Below are 23,576 nucleotides of genomic sequence, written 5' to 3'. Positions count from 1 at the left end.
GCGAGCAAGCAATTTTCTATTTTCTTCTTGGCCGAGCCTTATTTCTGGACCCTCTGTGGATCTTGCCTGGGCTGCTGAAGTCACGCACGCTTTGCAGAAAGAAAGTTACGCCTCCTCCTTGCCCTGGCTCCGTGCCTGGCTTTTGCAACTGGGTGGTCGCGACCTGTAATGCTGGAAACACCAGCTTCAAAAAGAAAAAAACAAAAAAACCCCTTAGTTGCACAGGGGACGTTGAGAACCTTTTAATTTCTGCATCGTTAGCGTGTATGCGTTTGCATCCGAAAGCCCTTGGAGGGAAAGGGTCGTAAACGTGGCTAGGAAGATTGTGTTTTTCCTACAGCAAAGGTATTAGTGCATATGTCATTTCATGCTCACACACGTCTTAGGAATTCTGCGGCAATTACACACGTCTCTGGATTTCCTCAAACATAAAACGTGGAGGGTGTTGACGGATGAGCTGCCTCGGTGGCCTTCAGCTATTTTTCTGTGATATAATAATAATAATAAATAATATTTTAAAATAGTATAATAATATATAATTATATATAATAATATAATATAATTATATAAAATAATATAATATAATTATAATATATAATTATATATAATAATATAATATAATTATAATATATAATTATATATTAATAATATAATATAATTATAATATATAATTATATATTAATAATATAATATAATTATAATATATAATTATATATTAATAATATAATATAATTATAATATATAATTATATATTAATAATATAATATAATTATATAATATATAGTATATATAATATAATATAATTATAATTATATACAATAATATAATATAATTATAATTATATACAATAATATAATATAATTATATCATATACAATAATATAATATAATTATATTTTATACAATAATATAATATAATTATATTTTATACAATAATATAATATAATTATATTATATACAATAATATAATATAATTATAATATACAATATATAATTATATACAATAATATGATATAATTATACTATATAATTATATACAATAATATAATATAATTATACTATATAATTATATGCAATAATATGATATAATTATACTATATAATTATATGCAATAATATAATATAATTATACTATATAATTATATGCAATAATATAATATAATTATACTATATAATTCTGTACAATAATATAATATAATTATAATATGTAATATATGATTATAATAATATAATATAATTATAATATATAATATATAATATAAATATAATATAATTATAATATGTAACATATTATATATAATAATAATGTAATATAATTATAATATATAATATATAATAATACATATTATAATAATATAATATAATTATGATACATAATATATAATAATACATATTATAATAATATAATATAATTATAATATATATAACCTATAATAAAATATAATAATATAATTATAATATATTATAGAATAATATATTATCATATAGATTATATAGAATAATATATTATTATATAGATTATATAGAATAATATATAATATTATTATATATTATATTATATAGAATATATAATAATATAATATAATTATAATAATATATAATAATATATATAATAATATAATAATAATAATTTTTTTTTGAGACAGAGTCTCGCTCTGTCACCCAGGCTGGAGTGCAGTGGCACAATCTTGGCTCACTGCAACCTCTGCCTCCCGGGTTCCAGTGATTCTCCTGCCTCGGCCTCCTGAGTAGCTGGGATTACAGCCTGCCACGCCACCCGGCTAATTTTTGTATTTTTAGTAGAGACGGGGTTTTACCATGTTTTCCAGGCTGGTGTCGAACTCCTGACCTCAGGTGATCTGCCCACCTCGGCCTCCCAGAGTGCTGGGATGACAGGTGTGAGCCACTGCACCCAGCCGATTATTATTATTATTTATTTTGAGATGGTGACTTACTCTGTCAGCCAGGCTGGAGTGCAATGGCGCGATCTTGGCTCCCTGCAACCTCTGCCTCCCGGGTTCAAGCCATTCTCCTGCCTCAACCTCCCCAGTAGCTGGGATTACCGGCGTGCACCACCACGCCTGGCTAATTTTGTATTTTTAGTAGAGACGGGGTTTCATCGTGTTGGTCAGGCTGGTCTCAAACTCCTGACCTCGGGTGATCCACCTGCCTCGGCCTCCCAGAGTGCTGGGATGACAGGCGTGAGCCACCGCGCCCCGGCCTGTCCTCTGTTAATAAACGTGCTTTTGCTTTGCACTGTCTTGACTGGCCTTGAATTCTTTCTTGCACGAGATCCAGGAACCTCTCTTGGGGTCTGGACCGGGACCCCTCCTTTTCTGTCACAAAACCAGGCACAGGAGTCCCTGAAACTGTAGGAAGACCAGTCGCAGACAAAACTCCTCAGACACCGGATTAAAGAAGGAACAGGTTTTTTATTCGGCCGGGAGCGTCGGCAGACTCGTGTGGTAAGAGCCGAGCTCCCCGAAATAGAAATTCCTAGCACTTTTAAGGGCTTACAACTCTAAGGGGTCCATGTGAAACGGTCATGATAGATCAAGTAAGCGTGAGGAACGTGACTGGGGGCTACATACATCAGCTAACAGAACAGAAAGTTTCACAGTGCTTTCTCATACGATGTCTGCAATTTACAGATAGCACCAGTAGTTTTGGTCAGGGGTTAATATTATATTATTTTATAATAATAATATATTATTATTATTTTATAATAATAATATATTATTATTATTTTATAATATTTTATTGTTATTTTCTTATAATATTTTATTATTTTCTTATAATATTTTATTATTATTTTATTATATTTTATTATTTTAATAATAAAATATAGATATTATATTATAATAATATTATAATATATTATTATAATATTATTATAATATATTATAGTATATATTATTACAATATATTATTATAATATTATTATAATATATTATAATATAGATTATGATATATTATAATATATATTACGATATCTATTATAATAATATATAATAATATATTATAATATATATTATAATAATATGATTATAATATATATTATAATGATATTACATTATAATATATTATTAATAATATTATGATATTATATTATTAATAATATTATAATATTATAATATTATATTATAATATTATAATATTATAATATTATATTATAATATAATATATCAGTATATTATAATATAATATTATAATAATATAATATATCATTATATTATAATATAATATTATAATAATATAATATATCATTATATTATAATATAATATTATAATAATATAATATATCATTATATTATAATATATTATAATAATATAATATATTACATTATTTTATATATTATATTATTTTATATATTATTATATTATATTTATTATAATATAATATATTATAATATCTATAATATTTATATTTACATATTATAGGTAATATAGATATTATCATATAACAATAAAATATTGTAATAAAATATTATAAATAAAAAAAGTCATCTGGCTATTTATCTTACTTCTGTTTGTTTCCAACTTTTTGCTTTCTCCGTTTTGTCCTGTCTTACAAACTAGGGAGAAGGGGAAGTGGGGGAGAAGCTGGGAAGGACAACAGGAGAAGTGGTGGTCTCATTTCATAAAACCAGGCACATGAGTCCCTGGTCCCTGGTAAGACAAGGTGTGATGAGGAAGTGGCTTAATTGGGAAGAGGTTTTCTCATCTGTCCTTCTTCTCACTGGCTTTCGTTTCAGAAATCTTTGTGACAAAGCCCCATGTTTTGAGGCGGTGTGTTCTGCAGCCTTTGCAGGGCAAAGGAAAGCAGGTGAGAAGAAGGAGAGATGAGGAAACCTCTTCCCGATTAAGGTGCTTTGATTCCAAGGAAGTTCCCGCTACGGAACCTGCTGCTTGTTCCAGGTATATTCCTTTTTTTTTTGTAGTCAGCTATTTAATGAGGTTCTTAAGACATTTAGAACACCAATTTGTGAGGATAGATTCCATTCGTCAGGACAAACACAGATCCTAGGTAGCCCTGGAGCTGAGGAATAGCTTTGATTTTTGGTGAAATCTGTGCGTCCACAGCTTTCTAATCAATCTCACGCTGCTACATAATCTCATATTTCTCTTTTTCTGTGTCGACGATGGCACCTTCCTGGTGTCTGGGCTTCTGCAGCTGCTGCTTCTTGAAGTAAGCATCAGTAAGATGTTTTGGGATTTTTACATTGCTGATACCGATTTTGGTTGAGGTGGCAATGACAAATTTCTGGTGCGTTCTTCGTGGAGGGACTCGATTGAGGACCAGAGGTCCAGTCACGAGTAACAAGCCACTAGCCAGCTGCTTCAGGAAAACCATCACTCTCCTGGTGTCTGGGCTTCCACAGCTTCTTCTTCTTCAAGTCAGCATCACTAAGATGTTTTGAGATTTTTACATTGCTGATACCGATTTTGGTTGAGGTGGCAATGACAAATTTCTGGTGCGTTCTTCGTGGAGGGACTCGATTGAGGACCAGAGGTCCAGTTACGAGTAACAAGCCACTAGCCAGCTGCTTCAGGAAAACCATCACTCTCCTGGTGTCTGGGCTTCCACAGCTTCTTCTTCTTCAAGTCAGCATCACTAAGATGTTTTGAGATTTTTACATTGCTGATACCGATTTTGGTTGAGGTGGCAATGACAAATTTCTGGTGCGTTCTTCGTGGAGGGACTCGATTGAGGACCAGAGGTCCAGTTACGAGTAACAAGCCACTAGCCAGCTGCTTCAGGAAAACCATCACTCTCCTGGTGTCTGGGCTTCCACAGCTTCTTCTTCTTCAAGTCAGCATCACTAAGATGTTTTGAGATTTTTACATTGCTGATACCGATTTTGGTTGAGGTGGCAATGACAAATTTCTGGTGCGTTCTTCGTGGAGGGACTCGATTGAGGACCAGAGGTCCAGTTACGAGTAACAAGCCACTAGCCAGCTGCTTCAGGAAAACCATCACTCTCCTGGTGTCTGGGCTTCCACAGCTTCTTCTTCTTCAAGTAAGCATCACTAAGATGTTTTGAGATTTTTACATTGCTGATACCGATTTTGGTTGAGGTGGCAATGACAAATTTCTGGTGCGTTCTTCGTGGAGGGACTCGATTGAGGACCAGAGGTCCAGTCACAAGTAACAAGCCACTAGCCAGCTGCTTCAGGAAAACCATCACTCTCCTGGTGTCTGGGCTTCCACAGCTTCTTCTTCTTCAAGTCAGCATCACTAAGATGTTTTGAGATTTTTACGTTGCTGATACCGATTTTGGTTGAGGTGGCAATGACAAATTTCTGGTGCGTTCTTCGTGGAGGGACTCGATTGAGGACCAGAGGTCCAGTCACAAGTAACAAGCCACTAGCCAGCTGCTTCAGGAAAACCATCACTCTTGCCCATGTGGCCTCCAGTGAGGAGGATCCGAATGGTCCCGGGCATAATGCTGGCTCGCCGTTTTCTCACGTGCTAACTGGTACATCTTCAGTAGGATTGTCGTACCCAGGCGAGTTAGTGAGAACGCCACACTTTGAGACGAATTAAGAGTCCTTTATTAAGCCGGCGGCCAAAGAGACGGCTAACGCTCAAAATTCTCTCGGCCACGCGGAAGGGGCTCGATTAACTTTTATACCTAGGTTTAGGAAGGGGAGGGGGACTCAAATGTAATAATTCTAGAGAAGTAAAAACATGCAAGAATGAAAAAAATCAAAAGGGTTACAGAGTGATAAACAACTTAAAAGACAAATGGTGACAAGAAGAGCAACGGTAGCAGGTGCAAGGTTCTAAATCTTTCATTATAATTAGATATACGGTCTATGCAGGACACAAACTGAAGGTTTTATGTTGTTATCTCTTGGAGGAAAATTCCTGGGGAACTTCATACATTGTGGGTGCCAGTACCTTATTAGTTAATTGGGCTCGTTTGAAATGCTGAGGATCTGTTTACCCAGGCCAACTCCTTAGGAAAGGGGGTTGGGTGAGGAGCCCTTAGAGTCTTGAAAATTAAGTGGTCAATTGGAGTTTGTCCGGCTTTCCCACCTAGAGAGAGTCTCATTTACATGAGAAGCAGGTCTAGGTGATTAAAGAGACAAGCAGAACAATATTCAAAGTAACAAGTTAAAGTAAAAACAAGGGTAGGCATTTCAGGATAATACCTAGGCATTTTGCGAAGTTTAACCACGCGGGTACCTCCGTCCTTGTCACCGCCAACTGGTTGTGTAACGGTCGCAAGAACCTTCTCCTTCTTTTTCTTTTCAACGTTGGATTTAGTGGCTGAGTACTTCCTCTTGTACACGGCCTTCCCGGAATACACGGGAGATATAGGGATTGCCTGCCAATTCCTCTGACAAGGACACGGTTGTGGCTGCAATGGGGCTTCCTCTTCTTGGGCCTTTTAGCCTTGAGGTGACGGTTTTTCACCTCGCCACCAGCATCAGCCTTCTTGGCTTCAGGTTTCTTCTCTTTAGTATCTGCCTTCTCAACTTTTTCACCTGCCATCGTGCAAGATGGGAAAGAGAGTTTCCAGGGATATTCTTAAGGAAGGAGACCAGTACTCCTCCTGCTGCCATCGTCCCCTCACCTTGCCTAGTTCACAAGACAGGAGGAGAGAAAAAGCAAGAAGTTGGAAAAAAAAACAAAAAAAAAACCCACAAAAGTAATGTAGCAGGACGAGCCTCAGACAAAACCTCTCAGACACCAAGCTGTAGAAGGAAGGGCTTTATTCAGCTGGGAGCATCGGGAAGCTACTGCCTTAAAATCCCAGCTCTCCAAATGCACAATTTCTGTCCCTTTTAAGGGCTCACAACACTAAAGATTTTACATGAAAGGGTCGTGATTGATTTGAGCGGGCAAGGGGTACGTGACAGGGGCTGCGTGCACCTGTGGTCAGAGAGAAACAGAACGGGGCAGGGAGTTTCGCAGTGTTCTTCTATACGACGTCTGGAATCTATGAATAACATCGGTTTCTAAGTTATGAGTTGAGTTTTAACTACTGGGTTTAGGGCCGGCAGCCCCAGGCCTGGTTTCGGGCCTGGCGCCGGGCTGCCTGTCTTTGATCTCACTTCCTTGCTGTTTTCTTAAAACAGGTAATGAGTATAAAACAACATAAAACAATATGAGAGGGTCTCTCTCTTCCCTCAGTGAAGGGGTGGCCTGCCCCTCCACACCTGTGGGTATTTCCAGTCGGGTGGGACGAGAGACTGAGAAAGAGAAATAAAACACAGAGACAAAGTATAGAGAAACAACAGTGGGCCCAGGGGACCAGCGCTCAGCATACCAAGGACCTGCACCGGCACCGGCCTCTGAGTTCCCTCACTTTTTATTGATTATTATTTTCATTATTTCAGCAAAAAGGAATGTAGTAGGAGAGCTGGGTGATAATAAGGAGAAGGTCAGCAACAAACATGTGAGCAAAAGAATCTATGTCGTAATTAGGTTCAAGGGAAGGTACTATGACTGGACGTGCACATAGGCCAGATTTATGTTTCTCTCCACCCAAATATCTCAGTGGAGTAAAGAATAACAAAGCAGCATTACTGCAAACATGTCTCACCTCCCACCATAGGGTGGTTTTTCTCCGATCTCAGAATTGAACAAATGTACAATCGGGTTTTATACCGAGACGTTCAGTTCCCAGGGGCAGGCAGGAGACAGTGGCTTTCCTCTATCTCAACTGCAAGAGGCTTTCCTCTTTTACCAATCCACCTCAGCACAGACCCTTTACGGGTGTCGGGCTGGGGGACGGTCGGGTCTTTCTCATCCCACGAGGCCATATTTCAGACTATCACATGGGGAGAAACAATACCCCGCTTGGACAATTGGACAATACCCGGCTTTCAAGGGCAGAGGTCCCTGCGGCTTTCCGCAGTGCATCGTGCCTCTGGTTTATTGAGACTAGAGAATGGCGATGAGTTTTACCAAGTATACCGCTCGTGAACATTTTGTTAACAAGGCACGTCCTGCACAGCCCTTGATTTCATAACCTCGATTTCATAAACCTTGATTTCCTACAACACATGTTTTTGTGAGCTCCAGGTTGGGTCAAAGTGGCTGGGGCAAACCTACACATTAACAACATCTCAGCAAAGCAATAGTTGAAAGTACAGGTCTTTTTCTAAATGGACTCTCTTATGTCTCTCCTTTCTCCATAGACACGGTCACAGTCTGATTTGTCTTTCTTTTCCCTACACCTCAGTAAGATAAGTAGCCAGACACCCTTGGCACCACCGCCCAGCCCTAGGAGTTAAAAAAAGTAAAAATAATAACATCAACCCCTGACCTAAACTACTTGTGTTATCTGTAAATTCCAGACACTGTATGAAAAAAACATTGTAGAACTTTTTGTGCTGTTGGCTGACGCGTGCAGCCCCCAGTCACATTCCCCACGCTTGCTCCATATATCACGACTCTTTCACGTGGACCCCTTAAAGCTGTAAGCCTTTGAAAAGGCCAAGAATTTCTTTCTCGGGGAGCTCGGCTCTTAAGACGTGAGTCTGCCGACGCTCCCGGCCGAATGAAAACCTGTTCCTTCTTTAATCTGGTGTCTGAGGAGTTTTGTCTGTACAGGCTCATCCTGCTACATTCTTAGCATGCTGGGCACACAGCAGGGGAGAGGAAAACTCTAGACCTGGGTTGGCTTCTGAACAAGCACATCTGTCTTGAGGCACGTGGGACCCTGTACTGTAAAATAATGCCAAGGCCGGGCGCGGTGGCTCACACCTGTCATCCCAGCACTTTGAGAGGAAGGGGCAGGTGGATCACCTGAGGCTGGGAGTTTGAGACCAGCCTGACCAACATAGAGAAACCCTGTCTCTACTAAAAATACAAAATTAGCCAGACGTGGTGGTGAGCGCCTGTAATCCCAGCTACTCGGGAGGCTGAGGCAGGAGAATTGCTTGAATCCGGGAGGCGGAGGTTGCAGTGAGCCCAGATTGCGCCATTGCACTCCAGCCTGGGCAACAAGAGCGAAACTCCGTCAAAAAAAAAAAAAAGAAAAAAAAGATTTCCCAAAGGAAGGAAGACAGTTCAGCAAATATTAAATAATAAAAGGATCAAATAAAAATGTTAAACAACCAGGGGGAGGGGGGAAGGATAGCATTAGGAGATATACCTAATGCTAAAGGACGAGTTAATAGGTGCAGCACACCAGCATGGCACATGTATACATATGTAACAAACCTGCACGTTGTGCACATGTACCCTAAAACTTAAAGTATAATAATAAAATTAAAAAAAATAAAAGCTGCACATACACTGAAAAAAAAAAAAGTTAAACAACCAAAATTAGAGCAGAAGCACCTAGCGAATTCTTTTATGCTGCCGTTCACCAGGAAAGCAAGAAATGCATTTGAAAGACAATTTCCACGAAAGCAAGAAATGCATTTGAAAGACAATTATCACGGAAGCAAGAAATGAATTTGAAAGATAATTTCCAAGAAAGCAAGAAATGCATTTGAAAGACAATTATCACGGAAGCAAGAAATGAATTTGAAAGATAATTTCCAAGAAAGCAAGAAATGCATTTGAAAGACAATTATCACGGAAGCAAGAAATAAATTTGAAAGCCAATTTCCACGGAAGCAAGAAATGCATTTGACAGACAATTATCACAGAAGCAAGAAATGCATCTGAAAGACAATTATCACGGAAGCAGGACATGAATTTGATAGACAATTTCCGCGGAAGCAAGAAATGCATTGGAAACACGATTTCCCTTCCCCCTTCCTCCTCCCTTCCCCCTCCCCCACTTCTCCTCCTCCCTTTCTCCTCCCCCTCCTCCTCCCTCCTCCTCCTCCCTCCTCCTTTTCTTCTCCACTTCTCTTCTCCTGCCCCTCCTCCTCCTACCTTCCTCGTCTCCCATCCTCTTCTCCCCCTCCACCTCCTCCTCCCTCCCCCTCCCTGTCCTCCTGCTCTTCTCCTCCTCTTCCCTTCCCCTCCTCCTCCTCCCTCGTCCTCACTTCCTCTTCCCTTCTCTCCCTCCTCCCACCTTCCTCTCCTCCTATCCTCTTCTCCTGATCCCCCTCCTCCTCCCTCCACCTCCTCCTTCTCTTTTTCTCCTCCTCTTCCCTTCCCCTCCTCCTCCATCTCTCCTTCCTCCTTCTCCCCTCCTCCTCTTCCTCTTTCTCCTCTTTGTTTTTCCCTCCCCCTACTCTTCCTCTCCCTCCTCCCCTCCCCATTCCCTTCTCTTTCTAGTACCATTCCCATTTACATTTTACAAACAGTTCCTCCAGTTCCACAGAAAAAACTATTGAAATGTTGATTTGAATTACATGAGACCTACAAGTGAATCTGAAGACTCCATCAGCCGCCTTAAAATATTGAGTCTCTTAATCGTTATGCACGTGTATTGCACTTTCTCTCCCTTTATACGATTTATTGTAAAGTTTGTTTTTAAGTTTCTATTGAGGCCGGGCGTGGTGGCTCACGCCTGTAATCCCAGCACTTTGGGAGGCCGAGGTGGGTGGATCACCTGAGGTCAGGAGTTCGAGACCAGCCTGGCCAACATGGCGAAACCCCATCTCTACTAAAAATACAAAAAGTAGCCGGGCGTGGTGGTGGGTGCCTGTAATCCCAGCGCTACTCGGGAGGCTGAGGCAGCAGAATCGCTTGAACCCAGGAAGGAGGTGGAGATTGCAGTGGACTGAATCATGCCGCTGCACTCCAGCCTGGGTGACAGAGCGAGACTCTGTCTCAAAAGGAAAGAAAGAAAGAAAGAGAGAGAGAGATGGAGGGAGGGAAAGAAAGAAAAGAAAGAAAGGAAAGAGAGGAAGGAAGAAAGGAAGGAAGGAAGGAAAAGAGAGAAAAAGAAGGAAGGAAGGAAAGAGAGAGACTGAGGGAGGGAAAGAGGAAAGAAAGAAAGGAAAGAAAGAAAGGAAGGAAGGAAAGGAAAGAGAGAAAAGAAAGAAAGGAAAGAAAGGAAAGAAAGAAAGGAAGGAAGAAAGGGAAAGAGAGAAAAGAAAGAAAAAAGAGAGAGATGGAGGGAGGGAGGGAAAGAGAAAAGAAAGAAAGGAAAGAAAGGAAGGAAGGAAGGGAAAGAGAAAAGAAAGAAAAGAAAGAAAGGAAGAAAGAAACAAAGAAAAGAAAAAGGAAGAAAGAAAGAAGAAAGAAAGAGAGAAGGAGGGAGGGAGGGAAAGAGAGAAAATGAAAAGAAAGGAAGGAAGAAGAGAGAAAAAAAGAAAAAGAAAGAAAGAAAAGAAAGAAAGAAAGAAAAAGAAAGAAAAGAAAGGTATTGGTTCGGTCCACAAAGGTGAGACAATTCAAACTGGGGCCTTCCAGGCTATCCGTGAATTGAAACATTGGTTGACAACTGGTTGAGTTTGTTTAAGACCTGGGATCCATAGAAAGGAAATGTTTGGGTTAAGATAAGAGATTGTGGAGACCAAGGTTCTTTTGAGGTCTCATAGTGGCTGCCCTTAGAGACAGCAGAAGACAAATGTTTCCTGTTCAGACCTTGACAAGCTTACTAGACTCCTAGATAATCTCTTTAGGATTGGGAGGGCCTGGAAGAAAAAGATCTAGCTATGTGAATACAGATTCTCTGCAGATGTGAATTTCCCCCCACAAAGAACGGCCTTCCAGGGCCATTTCGAGATATGGCAATGAAATATATTTTGGGGATAAGTATTTTGATTTTTTTTCTTGTCTCATAATGTGATGCTGGAGTCAGGTTGGAAAGTAAGTCATGGTATATAAGGTTAAATAAAACCCATCGGATGAGAATGGATGGTTTGTAGGGCACAACTCCCCAGACCCCTTAGATAGGAATGTGGGCAAGATTTAAAAATGTGTATACATTAACTATATATATTTAATATATATAAAATATATAATATGTACTTTATATATAATATATATATTATATATATAATATATATAATATATAATATAAATATATATAATATAAAATATATATAAATATATTATAAGTATATATTATATATAATATGTATTATAATTAATATATATTAATTATATAATATATAAATATCTTAATATATATTAATTATAATATATTAATAATACTATATAATATAATATATTATATATATTTTTATTTAATATATAATATATAATATATAATGTTATATATAATAGATAATAGATAATAGATAATGTATATAATATATACATTATATATAATGTATATATTTATTTATTTATATATATCAAGAGCCAGGCCTGTAATCCCAGCACTTTGGGAGGCTGAGGCAGGCGGATCATCTGAGGTCAGGAGTTCGAGACCATCCTGGCCAACATGGAGAAACCCCATCTCTACTAAAAATACAAAAATTAGCTTGGTGTGATGGCGCACACTTGTAATTCCAGCTGCTCGGGAGGCTGAGGCAGGAGAAACGCTTGAACCCGGGAGGCGGAGCTTGCAGTGAGTTCAGGTGGCACCATTGCACTCCAGCTTGGGCAACAAGAATAAAACTCTGTTTCAAAAAAAGAAAAACAAACAAACAAACAAAAAAATACTCCGGGCACGGTGGCTGATGCCTGTAATCTCAGCACTTTGGGAGGCCGAGGAGGGTGGATCACCTGAGGTCAGGAGTTCGAGACCAGCCTGACCAATACGGTGAAACCCCGTCTCTACTAATAATACAAAAATTAGTCACGCGTCGTGGCGGGCGCCTGTCATCCCAGCTACTTGGGAGGCTGAGGCAGGAGAATCGCTTGAACCCGGGAGGCGGAGGTTGCAGTGAGCCCAGATCGCGCCATTGCACTCCAGCCTGGGTGACAAGAGCAAACGCCCGTCTCAAAAAAAAAAAAACAAAAAAAAAAACCAGAGCTTCATTCTCAGAACATTTATATACATAGTTTTATCAGTTTTTATTTCTCACGAAGTTTTGCCCAGCAGCGCAATTGTGGATCCTATTTTATTTTAAAGAAGGCTTTGTTGTCAGAGAACAAACACCTCTCTGACTCTGGCAAGCTGCAAGAGTGGGAAGTCCCAGGTAACGGGATTATCCATAATTCTGCAAGCAGCCTTCATGAGCCAGGCTCCAACGCTTTGCACAAAACCACCGCTTAAATCTCGCTGGCCCCAAGCGACGTTCAGCTACAAGAGCAAAACCAGACAGCAGGAAGCCCTGTCTTCCGAAGAAAGGGGGTTGGGGGAAGCAAAAATGCCTCATATTTCACAGCGTATGAAAGAAAAAAATTACAACGTGTGGACTGCTCACTGACAGATAAAATAGGGTTCCCATTGTTAAAGAAAAACAGCACTTCCTCTGAGAAGGCCTGCCAGACATTTAGGAATTACTAAATTCGGAGTGTGTGGCGTTTCTTAAAGACACGTGTATGAGATGTAGGAATCATCCTAAATTAATTAATAAATTTAAGTAATTTATTAAACACTTCATGCACTTTATTAATTAAATCAATTAATAAAATTAATTTAATTAATAAAACAATTAAATCAGTTAAGAAAGTAATTTGATTAATAAATTCTTTTATTATATAATTAATTATAAGTAATTAATAAATAATTAAATTTATAAATAATTAAATTTATCAATTATTTATTTATTAATACTTGTCAATAATTAAATTTATCAACTAACTTATTAATATACAATTAATTAATTAATTAATATTTATTTAATTAATATTTATAATTATTAATAGCTATAAATGTTTATATAATTAATTTTATATAAAATTATATATAAATTTAATATAAAATTAATTATATATAAAATATATAATATTTATATTTGTATAATTAATATTTATATTTATTTGTTTATTAAATTAATATTTAATTATTTAATTATTTAAATATTTATATTTATTTATAATTAATTTAATATAAATAAATAAATAAATTAATTAATTAATTTAATTACTTCATTAATTAAATTAATCAATAAATTTAATTACTTCATTAATTAAATTAATTAATTTAATTTAATTACTTCATTAATTAAATTAATTAATTTAATTATCCTTATTATAAATTTAATCATCTCAATTAAATTTAAATTAAATTAAATCCTAATTAAATTAATTGGGATAATAAACCACCTAAATGCATTTGTCTGGAACTGGCATCTCCCGCCCGGGGTGGAAGTCCCTTGAACTGCAAAAAGCAAAAGGCGTTCTCAGATTCTCAGAGCCTGGGCAACATTTGTGCGAGACATTTGTGCCGTCACCTGCCTGCTCCGAGAGGGCTGACCAGGAGCAAGGGGCCGGGTCCGGCTGTAAATCACTGGCCCGTCTGGTTGTCAAACAAAAGCAACCCCTTCTTTTAGAATTTCCTGTTTTCAGACTTTCTGTGAGCATTTGCAACAGGCTGGCGGGTGCAGGCAACCAGGCGTTAGGATGCTGTGGCTGTTGCAGAATTTAACTCTGCGTCCTAAGAATGAATGGCGTTCGTTCTGAGTTTCTGCCAGTTCTGCAAAAACAGCCATTCAGAGATGAAGAAAACCGGGGGCAGATACTTGAACGATAGTTTTTTTTTTAAATTGCATTATTTTTATTTGTATTTTTTATTTTTACTATTTTTTATTTTATTTTTTATTTGTATTTTTTTCATTGTATTTTAAAAATTGTATTATTATTATTATACTTTAAGTTCTAGGGTACATGTGCACAACGTGCAGGTTAGTTACATATGTATCCATGTGCCATGCTGGTGTGCTGCACCCATGAACCATCATTTAACATTAGGTATATCTCCCAATGCTATCCCTCCCCTCTCTCCCCACCCCACAACAGGCCCCGGTGTGTGATGTTCCCCACCCTGTGTCCATGTGTTCTCATTGTTGAACGATAGTTTTAAAGTGAGGTGAGTCAATAGAACTAGGAATACGGCTCAAGGACCCTGAATTTGAATGATAGTTATTTTATTTTATTTTTGAGATGGAGTCTCGCTCTGTCGCCCAGGCTGGAGTGCAGTGGCGCGATCTCAGCTCGCTGCAACCTCAGCCTCCCGAGTACCTGACATTCCGGGCGACTGCCACCAAACCCGGCTAAGTTTTGTATTTTTAGGAGAGATGGGGTTTCCCCATGTTGGCCAGGCTGGTCTCGAACTCCCAACCTCAGGTGATCCAACCGCCTCAGCCTCTCAAAGTGCTGGGATTACAGGCGTGAGCCACTGCACCTGGCCTCTTTTCTCTGTTCTGTTCTGTTCTGTTCTGTTCTGTTCTGTTCTGTTCTGTTCTGTTCTCCTCTCCTCTCCTCTCATCCTCTCCACTCCTCTTCTCCTCTCTCGCTTCCCTCCCTCCCTCCCTTCTCTCTTTCTTTATCTCCTTCCTTCCTTTCTCTCTCTCTCTCTTTCTTTCCTTTCTTCTTTCCCTCTCTCCCTCCCTTCCTCCCTCTCTTCCTTCCTTCTCTCTATCTCCTTCCTTCCTTTCTCTCTCTCTTTCCTTTCTTCTTTCCCTCCCTCCGTCCCTCCGTCCCTCCCTCCCTCCCTCCCTCCCTTCCCTCCTTCCTTCCTTCTTTCCTTCCTTCTTCTTTCTTTCCTTCTTTCTTCCTTTCTTTTTCTTGTCTTACTCTGTTGCCCAGGCTGGAGTGCAGGGGCACCATCTGGGCTCACTGCAAACTCCGCCTCGTGGGTTCGAAACGTTCTTTTGCGTCAGCCTTCAAAGTAGCTGGGACTACAGGTGCACGCCACCACATCTGAATAATGTTTTCATTTTTTGTAGACACAGGATCTTGCTGTGTTGACGAGGCTGGTCTCAAGCTCCTGGGCTCAAGGGATCCTCCCTCCTCTGGCCTCCCAAGGTGGTGGGATTAGAGGCGTGAGTCATGGCGCCCGGCCCTACTATGAATTTCTACAGTTACATACTTATGTCCCAAAAAGGAAACACTGGGAAATATCCTTTGCATCGTGGCTGGGTCTGCAGTGATGGTACCTGTGTGTCAATGGGGTCAGTTTTTATTTATTTTATTTGATCTTTTATTTTATTTTTATTTATTTATTTATTTCGAGACGGAGTCTCCCTGTGTCTCCCAGGCTGGAGTGCAATGGCACAATCTCAGCTCACTGCAACCTCCGCCTCCTGGGTTCAAGTGATTCTCCTGCCTCAGCCTCCCGAGCAGCTGGAATTACAGGCACCTGCCACCACGTCCGGCTAATGTTTGTATTTTTAGTAGAGATGGAGTTTCACCATGTTGGTCAGGCTGGTCTCGAACTCCTGACCTTGTGATCCACCCACCTCGGCCTCCCGAAATGCTGGCATTACAGGTGTAAGCCACCACGCCCAGCCCTTCCTTCCTTCCTTCCTTTTCTTTTCCTTCCTTCTTTCTTTCTTTCTTTTCTTTCTTTCTTTCTTTTTTCTTTCTTTCTCTTTTCTTTCTTTCTCTTTCTTTTTCTCTCTTTCTTTTTCTTCCTTTCTCTCTTTCTCTCTTTTTTCTTTCTCTCTTTCATTCTCTTTCTTTCTTTAATTCTTTGTTTCTTTCTTTCTCTCTCTCTCTCTCCTTCCTTTCTCTCTCTCTTTCTCTCTTCCTCTCCTCCTTTCCTCTTTCCTTCTTTCTTTTCTTTCTTCCTTTCTTTTTCTTGTCTTGCTATGTGGCCCAGGCTGGAGTGCAGTGGTGTGATCTCAGCTCACTGCAGCCTCAACCTCCTGGGCTGAAGTAATACCCCCCGCCTCAGCCTCCAGAGTAGCTGGGACTGCAGATGGGCACCACCCCAGCCACCTAATTTTACATTTCTTTTTCGGAGGTGAGGCCTTGCTATGTTTCCCAGGCTGGTCTCAAACTTCTGGCCTCGAGCAATACCCCCATCACAGCCTCCCAAAGCGCTGAGATTACAGGAGGGAGCCACCGTGCCTGGCATTGACCTGAAATCTCGGAACACCTGTTGGTGATGGGCACAGACAGGCCCTGCTCTACCTTTCGAGGTAGAGTCTTGTCCTGACCCCCTTTTTAGAAAGAGGGGCCGGTAAGAGATCAGTTGGTATTCACAGCAGCTGCCTGAAATCTTCCCACTCCCCACATTCACTCTACACCCCCATGACCGCACAATGCATCCTCCATGCAGATGACTTAGCATGCTACATTCCACACGCACGTGCACCAGCTGTGGGCATAATGCAATTTATTAAGGATGGGTTTTTTTTTGACATATGTGCAAAAGGCAGTATGGGTGCCCAAATATCAATGAGGCCTGTCTATATTATTTTTTAAATTATATATATGTGTATATATGTATATATGTGTATCTATGTGTATATGTGTATATGTGTATATATGTATATATGTGTGTATATATGTATATATGTGTATATGTGTATATATGTGTATATGTATATATGTATATATGTGTATGTATGTGTATATATGTATATGTATATGTGTATATATGTATATATGTGTATATATCTGTATATGTGTATCTATGTGTATATGTGTATATATGTATATATGTGTGTATATATGTGTATATATGTATATATGTGTACATGTGTATATATGTGTATATGTATATATGTATATATGTGTATGTATGTGTATATATGTATATGTATATGTATATGTGTATATATGTGTATATATGTATATGTATATATGTATATATGTGTATATATGGTATATGTATATACACACACACACACACGTGTATATATATATATGTATATATATATTTGTTTTTTAGATAGAATTTCACTTTCGTTACCCAGGCTAGAATGCAATGGTGCAATCTCCGCTCACTGCAACCTCTACCTCCCAGGTTCAAGCAATTCTCCTGCCTCAGCCTCCCAAGTAGCTGGGATTACAGGCACCTGCCACCACGCCCAGCTGATTTTTGTATTTTTAGTTGAGATGGGGTTTCACCACATTGGCCAGGCTGGTCTTGAACTCCTGACCTCGTGATCCACCTGCCTCAACCTCCCAAAGCGCTGGGATTACAGGTGTGAGCCATTGCACCTGGCCCTATTTTATTTTATTTTATTTTATTGACTACATTATCATAAGAGAATTGGGTCCAGTTTTGACACCTACTGATGTGGTTTGGCTGTGTCCTCACCCAAATCTCATCTTGGACCCTAGCTCCCATAATCCCTCTGTATCGTGGGAGGGACCTAGTGGGAGAGAATTGAATCGTGGAGGCAGTTTCCCCCGTACTGTTCTCAGGGTCGTGAATACGTCTCACAAGGTCTGATGCTTTATCAGCGGTTTCCCTTTTCCCTCGGTTCTCTCTCTTTCTGTCTCTTGTTCTCTCTCTGTCTGTCTCTCTGTCTGTGTGTTTCTCTCTCTCTGTCTCTGTCTCTCTCTGTCTCTCTCTCTCTGTTTCTCTCTGTCTCTGTCTCTCTGTCTCTCTCTCTCTGTCTCTGTCTCTCCCTGTCTCTGTCTCTCTCTCCCTGTCTCTCTGTCTCTCTCTTTCTCTCTGTCTCTGTCTCTCCCTGTGTCTCTCTGTCTGTCTGTCTCTCTGTCTGTCTCTCTGTCTCTTTCTCTCTGTCTCTTTCTCTCTGTCTGTCTCTCTCTGTCTCTCTCTCCCTGTCTCTCTGTCTCTCTCTTTCTCTCTTTCTGTCTCTGTCACTCTCTTTCTGTCTCTATCTCTTTCTCTCTGTCTCTGTCTCTCTCTTTCTGTGTCTCTCTCTCTGTCTCTCTCTCTTTCTGTCTCTGTCTCTCTCTGTCTCTCTGTCTGTCTCTCTGTGTCTCTCTGTCTCTGTCTCTCTGTCTCTCTTTGTCTCTCTGTCTGTCTCTCTGTGTCTCTCTGTCTCTGTCTCTCTGTCTCTCTTTGTCTCTCTGTCTGTCTCTCTGTTTCTCTCTGTCTCTGTCTCTCTCTGTCTCTGTCTCTCTGTCTCTGTCTCTCCCTGTCTCTCTGTCTCTCTCTCTCTGTCTCTGTCTCTCCCTGTGTCTCTCTGTCTGTCTCTCTTTGTCTGTCTCTCTGTCTCTTTCTCTCTGTCTCTTTCTCTCTGTCTGTCTCTCTCTGTCTCTCTCTCCCTGTCTCTCTGTCTCTCTCTTTCTCTCTTTCTGTCTCTGTCACTCTCTTTCTGTCTCTATCTCTTTCTCTCTGTCTCTCTCTTTCTCTCTGTGTCTCTCTCTCTTTCTCTCTGTCTCTCTCTCTGTCTTTCTGTCTCTGTCTCTGTCTCTCTGTCTCTCTGTGTCTCTCTGTCTCTCTTTGTCTCTCTGTCTGTCTCTCTGTGTCTCTCTGTCTCTGTCTCTCTCTGTGTCTCTGTCTCTCTTTCTCTCTCTCTCTGTCTCTCTCCCTCTGTCTGTCTCTCTCTTTCTGTCTCTCTCTGTCTCTTTCTCTCTGTCTCTCTCTCTCTCTGTCTCTCTGTCCCTGTCTCTCTCTCTCTGTTTCTGTCTCTCTCTGCCTCTTTCTCTCTGTCTCTGTCTCTTTCTCTCTCTGTCTCTCTGTCCCTGTCTCTCTTTCTCTCTCTCTTTCTGTCTCTCTTTCTGTGTGTCTCTCTCTGTCTCTGTGTCTCTCTGTGTCTCTGTCTCTCTCTCTCTGTCTCTCTGTCTCTCTTTCTCTCTGTGTCTCTCTCCCTCTGTCTGTCTCTCTCTCTCTTTCTGTCTCTCTCTGTCTCTGTCTCTCTGTCTCTGTCTCTCTCTTTCTCTCTGTTTCTGTCTCTGTCTCTCTCTCTCTCTTTTCTTGTCTGCTGCCATAGAAGATGTGACTTTTGTCGTCCCCTATGTGGAACTGTCAGTCCATTAAACCCCTTCCTGGCTGGGCGCGGTGGCTCACGCCTGTCATCCCAGCACTTTGGGAGGCCGAGGCAGGTGGATCACCTGAGGTCAGGAGTTCGAGACCAGCCTGATCAACGTGGTAAAACCCCGTCTCTACTAAAAATACAAAAATTAGCCGGGCGTGGTGGTGGGTACCTGTAGTCCCAGCTACTCAGGAGGCTGAGGCAGGAGGATCGCTTTAACCCGGGAGGCGGAGGTTGCGGTGAGCCGAGATTGCGCCACTGCACTCCAGGCTTGGCGACAGAGTGAGACTCTGCCTTAAAAAAAATAATAAAAATAAAAACAATAAAAAAATCCTCTTTTCTTTATAAATTACCTGGTGTTGGTATGATTTTATCAGCAGCCTGAAAAGGGACTAATACTAGACCGCCCTCCTTTACTCATTCACTACCCACCACACTCAACTCTGTTACCTCCCTGATTAGCCAGCAGCCTCCCTGACATCCGAATGGACAGAGACTGGTCTGCTACTCTGAGAAAGGTGGGGTCAATGTTACATTGTTAACTGCAGAGACAGCGTCCTCGTCTGCACAGCCTTTGACCCTGAAGACCGCAAAGCCTGTTTCCACTTGTCTTGTTAGGGTTGTTACGGGATCTGGTGCAACCTGGGCTCACCGCAACCTCTACCTCCCGGGTTCAACCGATTCTCCTGCCTCAGCCTCCGGAGTAGCTGGGATTACAGGCACCCACCACCACACCCGGCTAATGTTTGTATTTTTAGTAGGGATGGGGTTTCACCACGTTGGCCAGGCTGGTCTCGAACTCCCGACCTCAGATGATCCACCCGCCTCAACCTCCCAAAGTGCTGGGATGACAGGCGTGAGCCGCCGTGCCCGGCCTTTATTTTATTTATTTTTTTTCTTAGACAGAGTTTCACTCTTGTTGCCCAGGCTGGAGTGCAGTGGTGCGATCTCCACTCACTGTAACCTCTACCTCTCGGGTTCAAGCAATTCTCCTGCCTCAGCCTTCCGAGTAGCTGCGATTACAGGCAGCTGCCACCACACCCAGCTAATTTTTGTATTTTTAGTAGAGTCAGGGTTTCACCGTATTGGCCAGGCTGGTCTCAAACTCCTGACCTCAGGTGATCTGCCTGCCTCGGCCTCCCAAAGTGCTCAGGCATGAGCCACCTCACCTGGCCCTGTTTTTTTGTTTTGTTTTGTTTTGTTTTGTTTTGTTTTTGAGACAGAGTGGCACTCTTGTTGCCCAGGCTGGAGTGCAGCGGTGCGATCTGTGCTCACAGCAACGTCTACCTCCTGGATTCAAGCAATTCTCCTGCCTCAGCCTCCTGAGTAGCTGGGATTGCAGGCAGCTGCCACCACGCCAGGCTAATTTTTTTTTGTATTTTTAGTAGAGACGGGGTTTCATCATGTTGGCCAGGCTGGTCTCGATCTCTTGACGTCATGATCTACCCACCTCGGCCTCCCAAAGTGCTGCGATTACAGGCGTGAGCCACCGCGCCCGGCTAATTTTTGTATTTTTAGTAGAGATGGGGTTTCACCATGTTGGTCAGGCTGGTCTCGAACTCGTGACCTCATGATCCACCCACCTCGGCCCCCCAAAGTGCTGGGATGACAGGCGTGAGCCACCGCACCTGGCCACCAGGGAGTCTATGCTTGTCTGTAAAACTGGTCTGCGACCTCTCAGAAAAGCCTTCAGTTTTACTGGTAACTTGTTTTGTTTCACAAACCGGGTAGACGGTGAAGGCGTTGCTCCTCAAATCGCCACTTGGTGGCAGCCAATACCTACAACTTCCAGTGTTGCTTTTGATTTTTCTCTCTTTTTGAGATGGAGTTTTGCTCTTGTCACCCAGGCTGGAGTGCAGTGGTGCGATCTCAGCTGACTGCAACCTCCGCCTCCCGGGTTCGAGTGATTCTCCTGCCTCAGTCTCCCGAGTAGTTGGGATTACAGGCGCACGCCACCACGCCTGACTAATTTTTGTATTTTTAGTAGAGACAGGGTTTCACCATGTTGGTCAGGATGGTGTCAAACTCCTGACCTCAGGTGATCCGCCTGCCTCAGCCTCCCAAAGTGCTGGGATGACAGGCGTGATCCACCACGCCTGGCTAATGTTTGTATTTTTAGTAGAGACCGGGTTTCACCATGTTGACCAGGCTGGTCTCGAACTCCTGACCTCAGGTGATCCACCCACCTGGGCCTCCCAAAGTGCTGGGATGACAGGCATGAGCCATCGCACCAGGCCGAGCGTTGCCTTTTGGTAATACAAGTGTGAAAACTCAGAACCGCAGAGCTTCTCTAGCTGCCCTGACAGGAACACACCTCCATGGCCCCAGTCTCAATGGTGTAGGGACTGTTGGAAGAGCTTAGTGATAAGGAAATGATTCCAAATGAAGTTCCATCTTCTTAAAACTGCAATTCCGATTCTGATGTGACTTTTTTTTTTTTTTTTTTTGAGATGGAGTCTTGCTCTGTCACCCAGGCTGGAGTGCAGTGGTGTGATCTCGGCTCACTGCAACCTCCGACTCCCGCGTTCGAGCGATTCTCCTGCCTCAGCCTCCCAAGTAGCTGGCATGACAGGTGCCCGCCACCACACCCGGCTAATTTTTTTAAAAATTATTATTATCTTTCAGACGGAGTCTCACTCTGTAGCCAGGCTGGAGTGCAGTGGCGCCATCCTGGCTCGCTGCAACCTCCGCCTCCTGGGCTCAAGTGATTCTCCTACCTCAGCCTCCTGAGTAGCTGGGATTACTGGCGCCCACGACCACAGCTGGCTGACTTTTGTATTTTTAGTAGAGACCAGGTTTCACCATGTTGGCCAGGCTGGTCTCGAACTGCTGACCTCAGGTGATCCGCCTGCCTCGGCCTCTCAAAGTGCTGGGATGACAGGCGTGAACCACCGCGCCCGGCCCAATTAAGAGAGGTTTAATTTTGTACGTGGGTCCTATCGGCCACAGGCATGGATGCTGCATAGTTGTTTGGTTTCGGAGATTGAAATGGGCATCCTTTTACTGGGGCAAGAGGAGTGTTTCGGAGGTAAGAACCTTCACTGAGGGTTTGTCCTGCACACTGTCTGACCCTTAGGACTTTTTTTCAGGCCGGTTGCGGTGGCTCATGCCTGTCATCCCAGCACTTTGGGAGGCCGAGGCGGGAGGATCACGAGGTGAGGAGATCGAGACCAGCCTGGCCAACATGGTGAAACCCCGTCTCTACTAAAAATACAAAAAAAAAATGGGCTGGACGTGGAGGCTCACATCTGTCATCCCAGCACTTTGGGAGGCCGAGGCGGGAGGATCACGAGGTGAGGAGATGGAGACCAGCCTGGCCAACATGGTGAAACCCCGTCTCTACTAAAGATACAAAAAAAAAATGGGCTGGACGTGGAGGCTCACATCTGTCATCCCAGCACTTTGGGAGGCCGAGGCGGGAGGATCACGAGGTCAGGAGATCGAGACCAGCCTGGCCAACATGGTGAAACCCCGTCTCTACTAAAAATACAAAAAAAAAATGGGCTGGACGTGGAGGCTCACACCTGTCATCCCAGCACTTTGGGAGGCCGAGGCGGGCGGATCACGAGGTCAGGAGATCGAGACCAGCCTGGCCAACATGGTAAAACCCCATCTCTACTAAAAATACAAAAAATTAGCCAGGTGTGGTGGCGGGCGCCTGTCGTCCCAGCTACTCGGGAGGATGAGGCAGGAGAATCACTTGAACCCGGGAGATGGAGCTTGCAGTGAGCCAAGGTCGCATGACGGCACTCCAGCCTGGGCGACAGAGCGAGACTCCGTCTCAAAAAAAACAAAGTTTCTTTTAGTGCTGAGCAAAACCACAATTGAGAATTGATCACCATCATTATATCCACTCAACAGAAAACCAGGAGAGGCCAAATGCAATAAAAGGACAGAGGTCTTTACCTCTGCGTTTGCAGTTTAGGGCTTTGGATAATCCAAGCAAATAGCGCCTGTTCAGAATTTTCCAGGA

General features: G+C 41.8%; 1 pseudogene; it reads right to left on the bottom strand.

The window, feature by feature from the left end:
* Nucleotides 1-3,968: 3,968 nt before the first annotated feature.
* Nucleotides 3,969-6,500, bottom strand: LOC652608 (60S ribosomal protein L6-like; annotated as a pseudogene).
* Between the last annotated feature and the right edge of the window lie 17,076 nt (nucleotides 6,501-23,576).

Source organism: Homo sapiens, chromosome Y, assembly GCF_000001405.40.
Source record: "Homo sapiens chromosome Y, GRCh38.p14 Primary Assembly".
Lineage (NCBI taxonomy): Eukaryota > Metazoa > Chordata > Mammalia > Primates > Hominidae > Homo > Homo sapiens.
This window is presented reverse-complemented; position numbering and strand designations above follow the sequence as displayed.